This window comes from Homo sapiens, chromosome 14, assembly GCF_000001405.40.
Source record: "Homo sapiens chromosome 14, GRCh38.p14 Primary Assembly".
Classification (NCBI taxonomy): Eukaryota; Metazoa; Chordata; class Mammalia; order Primates; family Hominidae; genus Homo; species Homo sapiens.
In genome coordinates, this window is record NC_000014.9 from 74,505,720 (window position 1) to 74,522,313 (window position 16,594).

General features: G+C 54.0%; 1 protein-coding gene and 1 long non-coding RNA gene across 2 annotated transcripts in view, besides 2 other annotated features; one reads left to right on the forward strand and one right to left on the reverse strand.

Moving 5' to 3' along the window:
* Window positions 1-16,594, reverse strand: part of LTBP2 (latent transforming growth factor beta binding protein 2) — a 114,055-nt gene that overhangs the window by 7,537 nt on the left and 89,924 nt on the right. The window contains exons 17-28 of the mRNA NM_000428.3: window positions 16,192-16,320; window positions 11,103-11,222; window positions 5,526-5,645; window positions 4,372-4,494; window positions 4,015-4,140; window positions 3,519-3,644; window positions 3,111-3,233; window positions 2,885-3,010; window positions 2,254-2,376; window positions 1,460-1,591; window positions 979-1,104; window positions 329-472 (exon numbers count right to left, since the gene is read on the reverse strand). Of these exons, the coding sequence (NP_000419.1) occupies window positions 329-472; window positions 979-1,104; window positions 1,460-1,591; window positions 2,254-2,376; window positions 2,885-3,010; window positions 3,111-3,233; window positions 3,519-3,644; window positions 4,015-4,140; window positions 4,372-4,494; window positions 5,526-5,645; window positions 11,103-11,222; window positions 16,192-16,320 (1,518 nt within the window). The remainder of the gene's footprint in view (window positions 1-328; window positions 473-978; window positions 1,105-1,459; window positions 1,592-2,253; window positions 2,377-2,884; window positions 3,011-3,110; window positions 3,234-3,518; window positions 3,645-4,014; window positions 4,141-4,371; window positions 4,495-5,525; window positions 5,646-11,102; window positions 11,223-16,191; window positions 16,321-16,594) is intronic.
* Window positions 953-1,462: an enhancer, noted in NCBI's record as "H3K4me1 hESC enhancer chr14:74973375-74973884 (GRCh37/hg19 assembly coordinates)". NCBI's record gives its function as "activates a minimal SCP1, AML or CMV promoter by ChIP-STARR-seq in naive H9 embryonic stem cells {active_cell/tissue: H9 hESC(naive)}" and the evidence as "EXISTENCE:reporter gene assay evidence [ECO:0000049][PMID:30033119]".
* Window positions 4,251-5,126: an enhancer, noted in NCBI's record as "H3K4me1 hESC enhancer chr14:74976673-74977548 (GRCh37/hg19 assembly coordinates)". NCBI's record gives its function as "activates a minimal SCP1, AML or CMV promoter by ChIP-STARR-seq in primed H9 embryonic stem cells {active_cell/tissue: H9 hESC(primed)}" and the evidence as "EXISTENCE:reporter gene assay evidence [ECO:0000049][PMID:30033119]".
* On the forward strand, window positions 9,173-13,599 carry LOC124903347 (uncharacterized). The gene is made up of 3 exons (XR_007064266.1): window positions 9,173-9,242; window positions 9,931-10,085; window positions 12,885-13,599. It is a non-coding gene; the product is annotated as an uncharacterized LOC124903347 (long non-coding RNA).

Sequence of the window (16,594 nt, forward strand, 5' to 3'; positions counted from 1 at the left end):
CTCTCATCCAGAAGGTTCCCAGGGATTAGATGGATTCAGGGTCCCTCCAAGGCTCAATCTGCGGTCCCTGGGGCCACCCTAAGTCAGCATCAGGGTTTCCTGAGCCTCCTCTAGGATCGTCGCCACCCTGTAGCTCCTGGTTTTGCTGCGCGCGGCCCTCAGCCTCCTCACCCCTCCATGCACCAGGCCCCGCCTGCACCTCCCTATGCTGCCCCAGGCCCTGGCCCAGTGTCCCCCTCAGCGGCTAGAGGCTAGTAGAGGGATGCAGAGGGACACGCTCTCTGTAAACCTCTGAGTCACCATGGATAATGTGTCTCCCAGGCCTCACCTCCAGCCCCCCGTGGGCGGCAGTGCCCCTCCTGGGCATCGTACTCCTCCAGGTCACTGGCACAGAGGCACAGGAAGGAGCCCTCCACGTTCTCACAGAGCGCGGCCCCACATACCGCCAGCATAAGCTCACACTCGTTCACATCTGCCAGGTGTGAGAACAGGCTCGTGGGCAGAAAAGAGGCAGCCCGTGCCCCCTGCCCCTGACTACAGCCCACTGCCCCCAAAAGAAGCAGGCTAGGCCTTGGGGAAGAAACAAGAGTAAGTATAGATTTGTAGGGAGGAGGAACCAATGGACAGAGGGCATGGGAAAGAAGAAAAAAGGAGAGGAGTGGCAGCAAACGGTCACAGAAGTGCACAAAGAGGAAGGGTTACCCCTCAGTGCACATTCTCCAAACCTCCTGCCTCCTGAGGCTCTGAGGCTTGAGGACACCTGCTGCCCTGCTGGCAGAGCGCGGCTGTGCTTCCCCTTACCCGCCCGGCCCATGTGCCCCTGGGCGAGGAGTTGAAGTCTCCCTCTTCTTTGAAGCCTCCCTTGCCCATGCTCTGGGGACCCGTGATGGAGCCACGTGACCAGGACCAGTTGAGGAGGAGGACCCCAGGGCCTTCCCTTCCCTGGCCCAGACCTTGGGTAGCCCACAGGCTCCTCACCCACACAGTCCCAGCCTGAGGGAGAGATCTCGAAGCCCTGGTCACAGAGGCAGCGGAAGGAGCCATCAGTGTTGTCACAGAAGCCGTGGCTGCCACACATGGTGTCGTTGGCGCACTCGTCTATGTCTGTGGGACAGTGGGAACCAGGATAGAGGATGTGTGTGTGTGTGTGTGTGTGTGTGCGCGCGCGCGTGTGTGCTCACTCTCTCACACGCATGCACACTCTCTCGTTCTCTGCTGAGAATACTTATTTGGCTTATTAGCACCAAGACCTGTGAAAAGCAGCCTCTCAACCCAGGATAAGAAAATCCTAACATTCACAGTCCTGTGGCATCTTTCATAAGCTCTGCTGGATGGAAAATATACAAGCTACAATCAGCTGCAAAAAATCGTGTCCTCAGGAGAAAATCATGTCTCGCTCAATATGTGAAAAATAGGTTTTCTCAGCCCTCTCTCCTCTCTCTCCTCCCTCCCTACTCACCAATGCAGTCTCCGTTCGGGGCCATGTGGAAGCCAGGCTGGCAGCCCAGAACACAGCGGTAGGAGCCAGGGCTGTTTTCACACTTCCAGGTGCCACACACCGGGTCTCCATAGTCCTCACACTCGTCAATATCTGTCCCCAGAGCCATGCCATGAGAGAGGACAGAGGTGGCCAGGTCACTGCTGTGGTCCCACAGGGTCATGCCCCACAACCTCTGGGGTTCTTGATCTATTCCAAATTACTGTGCTCATCCCAACCCCAGCACATCAAGGTCAGGACGATTTCCCCTGACCCTGCAGGGCTGAGCCTCTGGGAAGAGAACCGTATGCTATTTAGGAAGCAGTGAGCTCCTGCCCTTCTGTGACACTCCTTTTCCTCCACTGCCCCCATCTGTCTCCTATCCCTACCAGCAGAGCACTGTACTTCTCTTTACACGAAGCCTTCAGCATAGTGTATTACAGAGAGTTGTCTTCATATCTGTCTCCCTTGCTTTCAAGATCATCCATAACTGTCTATTTGTCCTAGCAAAAGACATTGAGCATAGCAGGTGTTTAATGTCTATTGAATCAATTTGGCCTTTAAAACTAGATTGTGTGCTCTGCCAGCACGAAGATGATGATTGTCTTCATTTTGTCATCCTTGGACAGCCCCTGAGCCCTGAGTCTCAATACATACACTATTTGTTGGACACTTCATCTGTGGAAAGTGCTCTGCTCCATGGGAGCTAAGGACCAGGCAGTGTAGAGATGGGCAGATGTGGGCAGAGCCCTGTGCCCTCCCCCCAGAGCCCTTACCCACACACTCTCCACTCTCTGGGGAGGGCTGGAAGCCAGTCTCACATAGACAGTTGAAGGAGCCCTCGGTGTTGACACAGTGCCCTCCCACACACGGGTCTGTGGTGGCACACTCGTCCACATCTAGAGTAGAGATGGCTGTCAGCAGACCCAGCCACGGGTCCCTTCCCTGTTAGGGTCCTGTGTAGCTTCCTCTGGGCCCTGAGTAGCCCATAGGAGAGTCAGGGAGTGGCTTATGTAGGAAAAGGCTCGAAGCCAGAGGCCAGGCTGTGGGAGGTGGGCACCGGGGTGGGGGTGAGGGGTGAGGTGGGGTCCCTGGGACTGGAGCTCTGTAAAGGGGAGAAGTGACACTCGGAGTTTGGAGTGGGTGCATGCCTGCTGTCAACGTCGTGAAGAGGCCCTGGTGAGAGACTGAGTCCCTCCCTCCCTGAGCCCCGGGCTCCCTCACATCACTCCTCGCTCCCATCTTCTCCTCCCTGGGCAGGGCCGTGAGCACTTGCTCTCAGTACTGGTATTAAAAGGGACACCACTCTAGTCTTAGCCTGTAGCGCCCATGCTCCTGACCAGTAGAGGTAGCTGTGCTGGCTTCCCATGCTCCTGGCCAGTAGAGGTAGCTGTGCTGGCTTCTCACCCTGGCAGCTGGTGCCCCCCTCTGCGCTGACGAAGCCAGGCGCGCACAGACAGAAGAAAGACCCGTGGCTGTTGAGGCACTCGCCGTGGGGTGCGCAGTGCTCCTCCCCCATGCACTCATTCACATCTGCAGGGAAAAGATGGGGAGTGGGTGTCTGCTGGGGATGTGCCTGCCTCCCCACACACTCATGCCCCCCACCCCCAGTAGGGTGACCTGGGTCACTCACCCTCACACACGGTGCCATTGGCCAGCTGGAAGCCCTGGGGACAGAGGCACTGGTAGGAGCCCACAGTGTTCTTGCACTCGCCTCCCAGGCAGCTGCTCTGGGGGTCTTCACATTCATCCACATCTGCAGGGCCACACAGGGGAGGAAGACAGCCGATGGCAGCACCTCCCAAGGACAGGAGTCAAGGGGGAAGTCTCCAGAGGACCTGTCACCTGCCTGCAGAGCTGGACCCACGGGGGATCATCCCCTCATGAGGCAGCACAGCTGGGACAAGCTTGTGAGCGACTCTTGGGGAGCGGGATGATGGCAGCTCCTCCAGCCTCAGCAGCCCCCCACCTGCTGGGCTTCACCATGGCCCTGACAGAGGGGGCATCCCATTTGTATCCTCTCCCACACAGAGGCTCATACCTTCACAGGAGTCACCCAGGGGGCTGGGCCGGTAGCCCCCATCGCAGTCCTTGCAGGAGAAGGAGCCAGCCGTGTTGGTGCAGACTCCGGAGGGGCAGACTCCCGGGAAGGCACACTCATCTAGGTCTGCAGACAGACAGCGCTCGCCCGGGGACCTAGGAGGGCTCCCACTCCCCAGGCAATGCAGGAACCTCACCGTGGCTTCCCTCTCTGAGCCCCTGGGGCTTTCCTAAAACCCCCTCCCTAGAACGCTCCCAGGACAGCCCTGCCCTCAGCTTCCCTCTTCTCTGGGACTGGCTTTTCCTCCTGTCCTCACTCTGAACTTGGGGATTATGACAATAGAAGCTCTTGTTGGGGCCAGGTCCATTTATGGGGTCTTCTAGCCTAGCCTGGAGCCCCTCGGCATCAGCCCCAAACTGGGGACAAATTGAGTGTTCTTTGGGAGGTAAGACAGCCTATATTCTGTCCCCTTCCACCACTGCCTCCCCAGGGTTACCTTCACAGGCAGTGCCGTCTTCATTCACCCAGTACCCGTTCTCACAGGCAGAGCAGGCGAAGGAGCCCTCCGTGTTGAGGCAGAGGCCTGTGGGGCATGAGGCCCGGCTGGCACACTCATCCACATCTGAAATAGGGCATTGCATTCTGTGTGGGACTCTGCAGGACAGACAGGCCAGGACACTGGCAGGTAGGCAGGGGTGGGGGAAGGACAGGTCTGGGCAGGGATGTGTTGGGTCAGTGTGAATAGGGATGCAAGGCCAGGGGTGGATTCAGGGGGCCAAGGGTGGTGTGCAGAGGGGAGGGAGCCACAAGCTGGATCGGCCTGCGGAGAAGGGGCGCTTCAGCATCTCTGTACCTTGGCAGCCCTTCTCATCTGAGGTGACCTCATAGCCCTGCTCACAAGAGCATCTGAAGGAGCCTTCTAGGTTGGTGCACTTTCCATGGGCACAGACCCCGGGAGTCAGACACTCATTCACATCTGTGGGAGAGAAGTCCAAGACGGTGGGCTGGCCTCCTCCCCATCCTGCAGCCCCCGCTGGCAGGCTCCAAGCATCTCAGTTATGAGGCCAGGGAACCAGCCTTCAGAGGGGCCGCAGGCCACCTGGGGAGGCCATGAGGCCATGCTCCCTCCTCCCACCTAGGCAGGGCAGGGCGTCCCATCCCCCGGGCTCACTTCAGCCCTATCTAGTAACTCAGAGCACTCTGCATGTATCCACGCAGGGGGCCAGGTCTCCCCGCCCTGGGGCTGGTTTGGCTCATCTGAGGATACTTGAAATGAGGTGTCCAAGACCCTTGACTTCCCTCATTGTGTGTGCCAGGAACCCTACATGACCTCCTACCGGCCAACCAAACAACCCACGATCCCAACCCAACAAGCAGCTTCTGCGGGTGGGCGGGCAGCGTGGAGAGAGGCCAGTCATGCCGAGGTGGCTGAGTGGCAGCCCTGAGGGCCTGGGAAACGTCTGCCCTCTCCAGAGCCTCAAAGCGTCTATTCAACACTCAGTCCCTCCCAGCATTCTGAACCCTGAGCCTTTCTTCCTGAGGGGGCTGCAGGAAAAGAGCACACGCCTCCTACTGCAGACCTGCTGCCCTTCTGAGGGAGGAGCGCCCCGCTGTGCGGTGGGCGTGCAGTTTAGACGCTGCTTTTGAGATGCAGAAGAGCAGGAGACCCTTCCTCCCTGGGAACTGCAGAAGGGCCTGGCCCCATCCTAAGACCCTTAGGCTCCTCGCTCCACCACAGGATCCAGCTACAGAAGCTGCTGGGACTTTGGGCAGTCACTCCAGAATGAATATGGCCAAAGAGGAGAAAAGGGCCCCACCCTAGCTGATTCAGAGGGCAGAGCCCTGGCGACTCATGCCCAGCGTCATCTGGGAACCCAGCTAGATCATGGAGGACAACAGCCTCCAAGCCACCTCCCTCTGCCCACCTCTTTCCCTTTCCGTGTGTGGGCTCAACCAGAGGTCCCAAGGCCGAATGGCTGGCTCAGTGCCTTGGCCAGCAGCCCTCACCTACACAGCTCCCACTCTGGCCCCGGTAGCCCTCCTCACAGGCCAGACAAGTGTAGGAGCCAGGGGAATTGACGCATCTCCCATCAGGGCAGGTACCGGGGTGACGGCATTCGTTGATATCTGCAAAACAGCAGCCCCTCCCTTGGTCATCCCTGGGAACATAGCAAATGGGTAGGTCTGTGACACAGCAAATCCTTGTCCCTGCCTTTGGTTGGGGAGAGGGATGGACAGAGGGAAACTAGGAAAGAATGAGAGCTGCCCTGTGTTCCCAACTCCACCTCTCACCCACCGTCTGGGACAAAAGAGGGAGATGGAAGAACTTAAAAATTAGAAAGGGAGACTCCCTGGGTGGGTGCAGTAGGCTATGGTTACCACCAGCTGTGGGAGGGTCAGAGGCTCCACTTTGTGAGCTGGGCTGTTGGGGATGGGCTTTCATCTCTCCCCTGGCGAATTCCTAATCCTTTATAAGCAGTGACCATTACTGGGATGTGCTTGGCACAGCAGCTAACTGGATTGCCAGAGGCTCCACAATAGATCATCGGAGGGGCAGTGAAGGCAACTTGGGCTTCCTTGCACCAGGAAATGAGGACCATGGAGGAACCCCCAATCTTGGATATGGCCAAGACCAGCTCTGAGGCAGAGTGCAGACTGTAGGGTAGAGCTGGCAAAGCTTCTCTGCTGGAGAGCTGTCAGACATTTCTTCCAGCCAAGAATCATGTAGGGATCCTGGCACCCACTCTGGTGAGATCCAGGAAAGTCAGCCAGAAGGGTTAAGCCTGGACACCAAATGGACACCCAGGGGACGAGAGGACCCAGGAAGGGAGAGTGGCAACAGGAAGAGGAGGGAGCTAGTTCTCCCCGGAGCCGAGGAGAGGGCTCTTCCCCGACATAACCTGGCATATCATGGGCTTCATCATCAAGGCACCCAGGGGACCTGGACTGAGTGAGGGAGGTCCTGTCACAGGGACTGAACTCTGAGTCAGCACTGCAGGAGGACATTATGCCCCTCTGGCCCGGTATCAAGGCTCTGGCCCACTCTTCACAACAGGTCCATTGGCCAAGGAAAGAGGAGGGGTTCTTCTTCCTAAATGGGTAATTGTCATTCTTCTAGAGGAAGTCCACCAGCTTATGCATATTTAGAGGCTCTACTGCCCGAGAGGAGGACCTACTCAGCACCTATGGAGGAAGTGTGGGAGGCAGGCCTAGGGTCTGAACATAGGCTTTCTGCAGAGGGACTAAAGCCAGCAGCTGTCACTGCTGCTGGACATGGAGAGGAGAGGACATGGACCTTAAAGTGGAGGGTGAAAGTGAGTCCTCTCTGAGGTTGTTTGGCTTCCAGAAGTCAGGACACATCGAAGCCCTCTGTCCCAGAGGACTGGGACCCTCTCAAGCCTAAAGCTTCTGCCTGAGGGTCCAGAAGACGGGGACATCGCCACAGGGCAGGTGGTTTTCAGGTGGGTCTCTGCAAGGAGAGTCCCACAACTCCCATATAATCTTGGGGACACTGAGATAAGGCGCATCTCTGGCAAGAGGGTAGCCCCAGCCCCTACTTGAGTTGTGGTGACACCAGCCTTAACTATTCTAAGGGCTTCTGTAAAGACAGAGATGGATAAAATGAAGGATCTAAGATGACTAACTTTGGCCACCCAAGAGACAGAGGCCAGTGCCATGACCTGTTGGCCTTGGCCAAGGTACTTGAAGGAGGATGGGCAAAGCCACTGAGAATGAGCAGCAATCCCTGTTTCAGGGATGCCAGATGATCTCTTCCAGGATGAAGAGAACGAGATTGAGGCAAAGCTCCTCCTAAATCCATGCCAGGAAAAATGAAGTCTTTGGACCTTTCCTGCAGGGATCAGGCAACGTGGGAAGGAGATAAGGTTTGCCAGGAGCAAAGGGCCCTGAAGTCTGTCCTGCCCCAAACATGCTGGGCACATCTCTTGGAGGTGGTGTGTGTAGTGTCTTAATGCTGGGCATTTAGGATGCATGTGGCATTCCAGCTCTCCACTTTCTGCACCATGGTAATCTGGTGCTTCCTAGTCTCTTGTGGTTGGGTGGAGCCATGAGACTAGTGAGGGCCAACGAACTGTGAGTGCGTATGATACGGATAATTTATGGACCAAACCATTTAATTTGTGCAACCCTCCAGAGTGCTCTTTTATTCTTCCACAGAGACTGGCTATTCCTTTAGCCTACATCTCCAATGAGGAAACATGGGGCAGAGCCCCCAGCTGACCCTTGATGGACATGTGGCACTGATGAGATAGAAACTTGGCTGCTGCTGGGCATGGTGACTCGCGCCTGTAATCCCAGCACTTTGGGAGGCCAAGACAGGCGGATCATCTGAGGTCAGGAGTTCAAGACTAGCCTAGCCAAAATGGTGAAACCCCATCTCTACTAAAAATACAAAAATTAGCCGGGTGTGGTGGTGGGCACCTGTAGTCCCAGCCACTCGGGAGGCTGAGGCAGGAGAATCGCTTGAACCCGGTGGGGGAGGAGGTTGCAGTGAGCCAAGATCACACCACTGCACTCCAGCCTGGGTGACAGAGCGAGACTCTGTCTCAAACAAACAAACAAACAAACAAACTTGGCTGCTATGTCAATAAGATAGGGGTTGTTTGTTAACGCAGCATAACCTTGTCTATCTTGGCATGCCACTGCTGGCTTCCTTCCTCAGACCAGAGCCCCAGCCAGTGATTATCACACGTGAATGGGAGGGGGAGGGCAGATGATGAAAGCAGCCCCTCATTCTCCACCCGAGCCAGGGAAGGGCTCTCCTTGGTGGAAGTGAATATAACTGAACCATTAGCCAAGCCAATCCAAAGGAGCCAGAGGAAGATTCCGAATGAAGCAGATTCTATTACCAGCTACTCTGAGGCTGTCCCACCAGCATCTTGGTGCCTGGACTGGAACCAGTCACTGGATGCAGAAATATTCCAGTTTTTCTGCCTGGCCTAGGGTATGAATGTTAATCTGAGATTACGGTGTGTTTTGGAGGGTTTTAATATTCTGTCTTTGAAGCCAGGAGCCATCTGCCTTCTTCCTGTGTTCCCAGCCCATGGCCGACACAGCTGGTGCTCAACAAATGTTTGCTAACCAAAGAGTGGGAGAGTATGCCTCAAACTTCACCCTTCATCTTTTTGGTATAAGGCTGCTGAAGAGACCCCAAAGGGCCCATGGCAACAATCAATCCAGAGACCAGCTTGCCAAGCTTCTGTTGGTTCGCTGGGAGAATCCTGGAGCTTCTCTAACCACAGATCAGCCTTTGGATGAGGAAATATAAAGGCATTCACTTCTGGTGGTTGTGAGAGCATGCGGTGGGGGTAGGGAAGGCACTCAGGCAGGGGCCAGAAGCTCAAGTGACCTTGGTTATGGCTGGGCGACACCAAAGGCCCTGGCAGTCTGCAGGGAAGTCTATCCCCTGTCCGTGGGAACCTGGAGTCCCGGTACGACGGAAATGCCGTTGAGACTGCTGGACGGGCCTCTGTCCAGACCACTCAGCCTTTCACCAGAGACTTTCAGTTTCAGTGGCGAGAGTGGTTTCTGAGTTGGAGAAAGAAGAAAGAGGGAGAGGAAATTGACTGGGCTCCCAGGGTGATGGGCCGGGCTTGTGGTTACCGATGGAAACCTGGAGAAGTGTGCGGGCTACATCATTCTTTCTTTCAACAGACTCGGAGTGTCTGCCCTGGGCCAGGAACTCTGCCTGACCTCCCAGATGAGGTGTGTGTCTAGAACCTTTCCTTGGGAAGGGAAGGAGAGGGCTGGGGTATGGGGGAGCCTGGACATGAAAAAGAACTACCCTCTGACAGTAACATTTCCCTCTACTTATTCAAGGTCTGTATGTGCCAGACGGTGCCTAGCACTTTGTATACATTAGCTTATCCGGTGCTCACAAACATCTCTGAGATGGGCATTACAGTTCAATTTCCAGACATCGCGTCAAAAGCCAAACCCAAGCCTGTCTGCACCAGAGCCTGTGCCCTTCACACAGACTGGTTAATATAAATCTGATTTTTTTTTTTTTTTTTTTTTTGAGACAGAGTCTCACTCTATTGCCCAGGCTGGAGTGCAGTGGCGTGATCTCGGCTCACTGCAACTTCCACGTCCTGGGTTCAAGTGATTCTCCTGCCTCAGCCTCGCAAGTAGGTAGGATAACAGGCATGTGCTATCACGCCCAGCTAATTTTTGTATTTTTAGTAGAGACAGGGTTTCACCACGTTGGCCAGGCTAGTCTTGAACTGCTGATCTCCAGTGACCCACCTGCCTCGGCCTCCCAAAGTGCTGGGATTACAGATGTGAGCCACCGCGCCCAGCCTAAACCTGATGTTTTTAATGTTCTGGTATTTTCTTGATTCATTTCCTCTCATTTTACTTCTCTTTTTGATAAAGTCTAATGTCAAATTCACAGTGTCATTATGATGCTTAAATGAGGTAATCTATTGAGGACCTAACCCAGACACCTGGGACACAGGAGGCACCTGTCAGTGGTGGGTGCCATCATTCTCCATTCTCCTGAAGATGCCAGGCTGTCTTATCTCCATCGTGCTAAGGAGGACAAGGCAGGTGGGTTCCGGCTTTGGTCATGGGTAGGCCTGAGTTTTAAAGGGGGAGGACCAAGAGGGAGGCATTGGGAGGTGACACACTGGGGCTGAAGGCAGAGCTGTCTGTCCTGCACCTGCCGCAACCTCTCCCCTTTGCTTCTCTGGACTTCGCTTCCATGGTAGTGGTATTGGGAAGGGAAGCTGTCCTTTCACAAAGTACACAAGCTCTTCTCTGACTTCCAGGCCCTTCTGAAAGCAGGCAAGTCCCAGCCAGGGAAACCTGGAGGCTGGGAGGAGTCTCAGCCTAAGCTCGGACCCAGGGCCAGGTTCTTCTTGGACTGCGCCTGGATTTACCCTCATTTCTTCCTGTCCCAGCCAGTCTCGAGAGCAAATGCCCTGGGCCTCCTACAAGCCTGTGACACCCCAGCCTGACAGGGACGTGGTGGCAGCAAAGCTGCCAGGGGTCTTCAGAGCTGGCACGAGACAGGCAAGGGTCTGTGAGGAGACCAGTTAGCAATGTCACAGCGCCTTCTGGCTGGGTCTGGGAAAGACAGAAGGATCTGGAATCCCTCCCTCCCTCCCTTCCTTCCTTCCTTCCTCTAGCATTTATTGGGTGCTTATCAGTTGTCCATGTATGGGCCATCTAAAGATATGGCCCAGCCCTCAGGAGCTAACAATCTAACAAGCTTAATAAGAAGGCTGACACTCCCAGACACACCGACTCTTCCTCTGCCCCATGAGAAGAGCACATTTTTCAAGGCAACAGGGCGGAGGTTACAGAGGAGATGTTCCTAAGGTGTCATGTGGATAAAGTTGTTCATGCTCCCCTGCTGCAGGTGGCAGACAGGATGCCAGAATGTCACTGAGGGGATGGAAGGGCTCAGGAATTCTCATAGGTGTCTCTGTCCATAGACGTGGGCTCAGCATCAAGGGGCCAGGGCAGAGACAAGCCAGAAGGCGTGTTGGTGGTGGGCAGTGCGTAGGGAGGGACAGGTGGGTGGTGGGGTGGCAGGGCGCTTCCCTCCTTCCCGTTCCTTACCTTGGCAGTGTCCTTTCCTGACCATGATGTAGCCCTGATCACACTCGCAGTGGTACGAGCCCTCGGTGTTGGTGCACTGCCCCCCGCTGCACACCCCTGGCTGCTCACACTCATTGATATCTGTGAACACACAGAAAAGCCCTGAGTCACAGCCAGCCCTGGAGGATGGTGGAGGGGGCGGGGTCCTGGAGCATTCCTTCTAGAGGCCAAGGACAAAGGATGCCATGCTGAGGCCTGGGCAGGGAAGGCATGCTGGCTGCAGCCACAATTGCCTGGAGGGGCTCCTGGGCCAGGTCTGAAATGATCTAGCTCAGGCCCCTGATAAACCTGAGTTCCTTTCTCTCAGGGGAGTCTACTCTGGGGACCCATGGGGATCCTTACAACTGTTTCCTCACCCTCATGCAAGGGCTGATCTGGAGGTGGGGTAGCAGTCCATACAGTATAAACTGCAGAGGCCAAAAGGACTCCCACCCCGCTCCTGGCCCCACTATATCCCCTTCGGGTCTGCTCCTGGAGTCCTTCCTTCCTTTCTTCCTTTATTTATTTATTGAGACGGAGTTTCGCTCTTGTTGCCCAGGCTGGAGTGCGATGGCGCCATCTTGACTCACTGCAACCTCCGGCTCACTGCAACCTCTGCCTCCCTGGCTCAAGCGATTCTCCTGCCTCAGCCTCCCAAGTAGCTGGGATTACAGGTGCCCGCTACCACACCCAGCTAATTTTTTTGTATTTTTAGTAGAGATGAGGTTTCACTATGTTGACCAGGCTGGTCTTGAACTCCTGACCTCAAGTGATCCACACTCCTCAGCCTCCCAAAGTGCTGGGATTATAAGCATGAACCACTGCACCTGGCCTCCTGGAGTCCTTCCTAAGGACCTTCATAAAGGTTAGGAACCAAGCAGCCAGTGAGGGATTGCGTTTTAGGTAACCATGGATCTGTAGGGTGTGGTTTCTGTCACTTTTCCAAAGTATATTGGTGTCCCATCATCTAAAGCCCAACCCCACTCACGCCCCTCCACTGCTTAAACTCCTACCAGAGACCCCTGCTACCTCCAGTTCTGTTCGCAGCTTGGCTCACAAGGCCTTTGCCAGCTGGCCCAGCTCTGCTGTATTTGCTAATTCACACAAGTCCCTTGGTATAGCCTCAGCTATTGCAGATTTCAGCAGTCCAATCTCCAAGCCTTTGTTCACACAAATGCTTCCACCTGGAGTCTCTTTCCTCACGATGGCCAGCAAATCCCTGCCCCCATTTCAAGGACTGGTTTAATGCATCACCTTTGGGTCCTGTGGGTCCCCATCCCCTGTCCCCACAGTCAAATTAATCAAGGCCTCACCTTCCCACTCTCCCCCTTAAACTGGGACTGATACAAACACTTCACAGAGTCCTTGTGCAGATTAAATACAATAATCCAGGTGAGGGGTTGAGCACTGTGCCCACCTGGCATAAGGTAAGCACTGCAGAAATGTTAGCTATTATTATCCTAGTGTTAAACCCCATAAAATCCCAGCTCCTCAAGCCTGGCGTGTGAGATCTTGCATGACCGGCCCCAGCCTGCTTCTCATCTGTTTCCTGCCGCCCGCACCTCTCCTACCCTCGCCTAACCTCAGGACCTGTTCCTGAGCCTCTGCCCACACTGTCCCCTTGCCTGGAACAGCTTCCTACACACCAGTGTGACTGCCTCCCACTTATCTCCAACCCAGCGTCCCCTGAGGGCCCAGCTTTCAGTGTACCTGTTCATTTACTTGCTTCTCCCTGACTAATGGGAACATGCCTTATTATCTCAGCATCTCCAGTGCCCAGCACAGAACCCCAATAAGTGCTTACTGAAGGAATTGAATAATAACCATTTGTTTAAGGACAGTGTCTTCACTTGAGCAATACTTCATAAAACTCCAGTGCACAGCAAAGTCTCTGCCAGAAGGTGGGAAATGCACACTCCTAGGCCCACAGCCAGAGATTCTGATCCTGCTGTACTGGTGGGCCCAGGAACCCACGCTGTTATAGCTCTTCAGGCAATTCTGGAATAACTGGTGTTCACTGTGAGAAGCTCTAACCCCAATGGAAGAGAGAAGGGAACTCATAGACAGAGCCGTATGTGGGAACTGGATGAAGAACTCATTATCCCCTGAGGTCAGGACGACTGTCTGATAGATGGTGCTGGAAAACTCCCTCACTCCATGGAGAAAAATGGAGACGTGAATAGAGAAAGACCAGGTTCTTAACAGCCATATGAAGATGGACTCCAGATGAATCAAAGCATACCATAAAAGGGAAAACTAGAACTCAATTAAGGTATAGGAGAATATCTTTATGACTTCAGGATATGGAAGGATTTCTTAAACAAAGCCCCCAAAACACACAAAAATAAGGCAAAATGGTGAATTTCAGTAAATCAAAATTAAGGATTTCTGTTCCAAGAAATGTAGATAAGCTTAAAGGATAGAGGACAAAATGGGAGCATTGCAATTTCTAAACCCGGCCAAGAATCTAGAATATATAACGGACTCCTAAAGAGCCCCAGGAAAAAGCAGCAACCACCATTGGAAAACTGAGCAAAAATGGGAGCCAGCAGTTTACAGATGAGGAAACCCACAGGCTAATGTATGAAGAGATGCTTACATTTATTGGTAAACATTTACTTAGATATTTAATATGTAAATAATTTATCTTATTGATAATATAAATTATGATTTATATTAATTATATATACATTATTTAAATAATCTATAAATAGATATAAATATCAAATCATTGAGGTAATGAGATATTACTTTATGAGACTGGGAAGCTTCAGAAAGTGGGTGTTATTCTGGACAAGGCCTCTTCCAGTGGTACCCAAGCCCCACTGGGAGAAGTACTTAGAGCCAGCCTTGAACCCCATCCCCGTTCCCCAGCTGCTGGGGCTGGCAGAGACATCTTGGACACCCAGGCTGGCACGGTGGCAGAAACTTGTGTCTGCACCAGTCCTGGTGACACCATTCTCTGCAGCAGCTGCTGCTTATCCCAGGCCAGCTCCCCAGGCTGGGTCTGCAAAGAGCAGTGCCTCTGGCCCACAACACCCACCTAGACGATTGGAGCCCAGAGAAGCCTCCTTCCCTCAGCCTCTCTCCTGGCTCCTCCAGCCTGTTCTGAGCCCTGCCCCTTAAGTCAGCTCCCCGGAAGTCAGCTGACCCAGTCACCACTGTTCTGCTCACAGACTTCTACTGGCTACCCATGCCTGTGAGACAGTGTCCAAGCGCTTCAGCCTGGCACTCAAGACATTTCCCACACTGGCCTCTTCCTCCAGGTAGCCCTGCTCCAGTCATACTGCATTCATGATTATTCCCAGAGCATGCCAGGGAACGTTCACTATTCAGGTCTCTGCAAAGATGCTTCTCTCTACCTGGAATACCCTCTGCTCCCTCAATTCCTATTCACGCTCCATTCCTATTCATGCTCCAACACCCTGTGTGTAAGGGAGTGTGTCTTTGGAAGCAAACCATGCTTTGGAGCTAGAGTGATTTGATTCTGTTTCTAGCTCTGTCACCACTAGGTTTGAGGCCCCTGGGTATTTCAATTCACCTCTGAGCCTCAGTTTGCTAAACTATTAAATGGGGCTAAGGATTTCCATAACATGGAGTTGGGATGATGAGCTTCATATAACAAAATGCTTGGGACATTGCCAGCATATATTAAGTGCTCATTAAATGGTAGCTATTCTTGGTCAGGTGTGGTGGCTCACACCTGTAATCCCAGCACTTTGGGAGGCCGAGGCGGGTGGATCACAAGATCAGGAGTTCGAGACCAGCCTGGCCAATATGGTAAAACCCTGTCTCTACTAAAAATACAAAAATTAGCCGAGCGTGGTGGCAGGCGCCTGTAGTCCCAGCTACTCAGGAGGCTGAGGCAGGAGAATGGCGTGAACCCAGGAGGCAGAGGTTACAGTGAGCCAAGATTGTGCCACTGCACTCCAGCCTGGGTGACAGAGCGAGACTCCATCATAAATGAATGAATGAATGAATGAATGAATGAATGGTAGCTATTTTTATTCTGCTCCATCTCGAGTACCCGAATAATCTCATACAGAACAACTTGCTCCTCATCTGGATCCTACAGTGTCACCATTCACACCTCACTCATCTCAGCATCCTCAGAGCTTGGCACAGTGCCTGGCACATAGGTGGTGCCAACGCATGAGAGCATAATGAACACTACCCGTGATTCTCCCGCTCCTCCGTTAAGTTAGGAGGTCTGCCCCTTCTACTTCCCTTCCCTCCATAATCAAGTGATTGGACCTGGATGGCTTTGGTTTCTGTAAACTGGACCCTTGGGGGATTGGAACCCGAGGGGATCCTGGCAGCAGGAGGGTACACAGCTTCCCTGGCCTCCCTGGGGGTCTGGCCAGAACCAGCAATGTGAGCCCCAAGCACAGGCAGGGTCCCTCTTGAGGTGAAGGATTTACAACTGGATTATGAATCTTAAGGTGTTGCTTAGAAAGTGCTGCATTATATTATTTGTGAACTTAATCATAAAAATGTATGTGGAAAAAAATGTATGTGGGGTGTTTTGCATCATTAAAGGGTTTGCGTTGGGAGCGTATTTATCAAGGGTCCCCTGGCAGTGGGCCACATCACATCTTCCCAGGGAAGTGCAAAGCCCTACAAGTGCCTCCAAGCTGCTGAGGAGCCGTGCTCCTCGTTCAAAGGCACACCTACTCCCAGGTCTGCCAGTAGTCCCAGCCTGGCATCCTTATGGGTCTCCCTCCTTCCCTGACATGAAACCAGCTCCTTGTCACTCGGAGTTTGGGGGCCTGCTGCATAATCCTCATCTCCAGCCATGTCTCCTGACCCTGTGACACTCTTGGTTCCACCCACAATTCCTTAGGGCCTTTGCAGAGATTGCTGGTTTTTGGATTTCTACCCCTCCTTGCCACTGGCATAGAATCAGCCTCCTCCCAGATCCAGGCTGGAGTTCTGGTCTCTCCTCCTTCACTCCTTCAGCTGCCCACTCCCCATTCTGCGGCACGGTGTTTGGGGGTGTGAACCCCTGGTTCCTCTTCCACCCCCTCAAGACTGTGGGGCCTGGCCAAGGGCAAGGGCGGGCTTGGCTTACCTTGACACTCCTGTGTCGCCCCTGAGGTGGCCAGAGTGTAGCCAGGGTAGCAGAAGCAGGAGTAGGACCCCACGCGGTTGATGCAGCGCCCTTTTCCCTTGCAGGGGTCCCTCAGACACTCGTTGTCATCTGACCAGAAGAAGGCAGGGAGGGAGGTCAGGGGGGCCAGCGGTGCCGTTCTTTGGGCACCTACCAGCAACCTGCCCACACTAGGGGCTGGGCAGGGGATGGTGCTGTGTGGCAAGGAAGGGGTGAGGGAGTGGAGGAGGCTGAAAATCTCTAAGGCTGGAAGCCATAAAGTCAGCCCAGTGGGCCCACTCAGGCACCAGAAGCCTGGCGTGACTGCCAGCCCCTCCTATCTGCCCCTCGACTCCTTCCCCCAGTAGCCTCATGATTCCTTTCT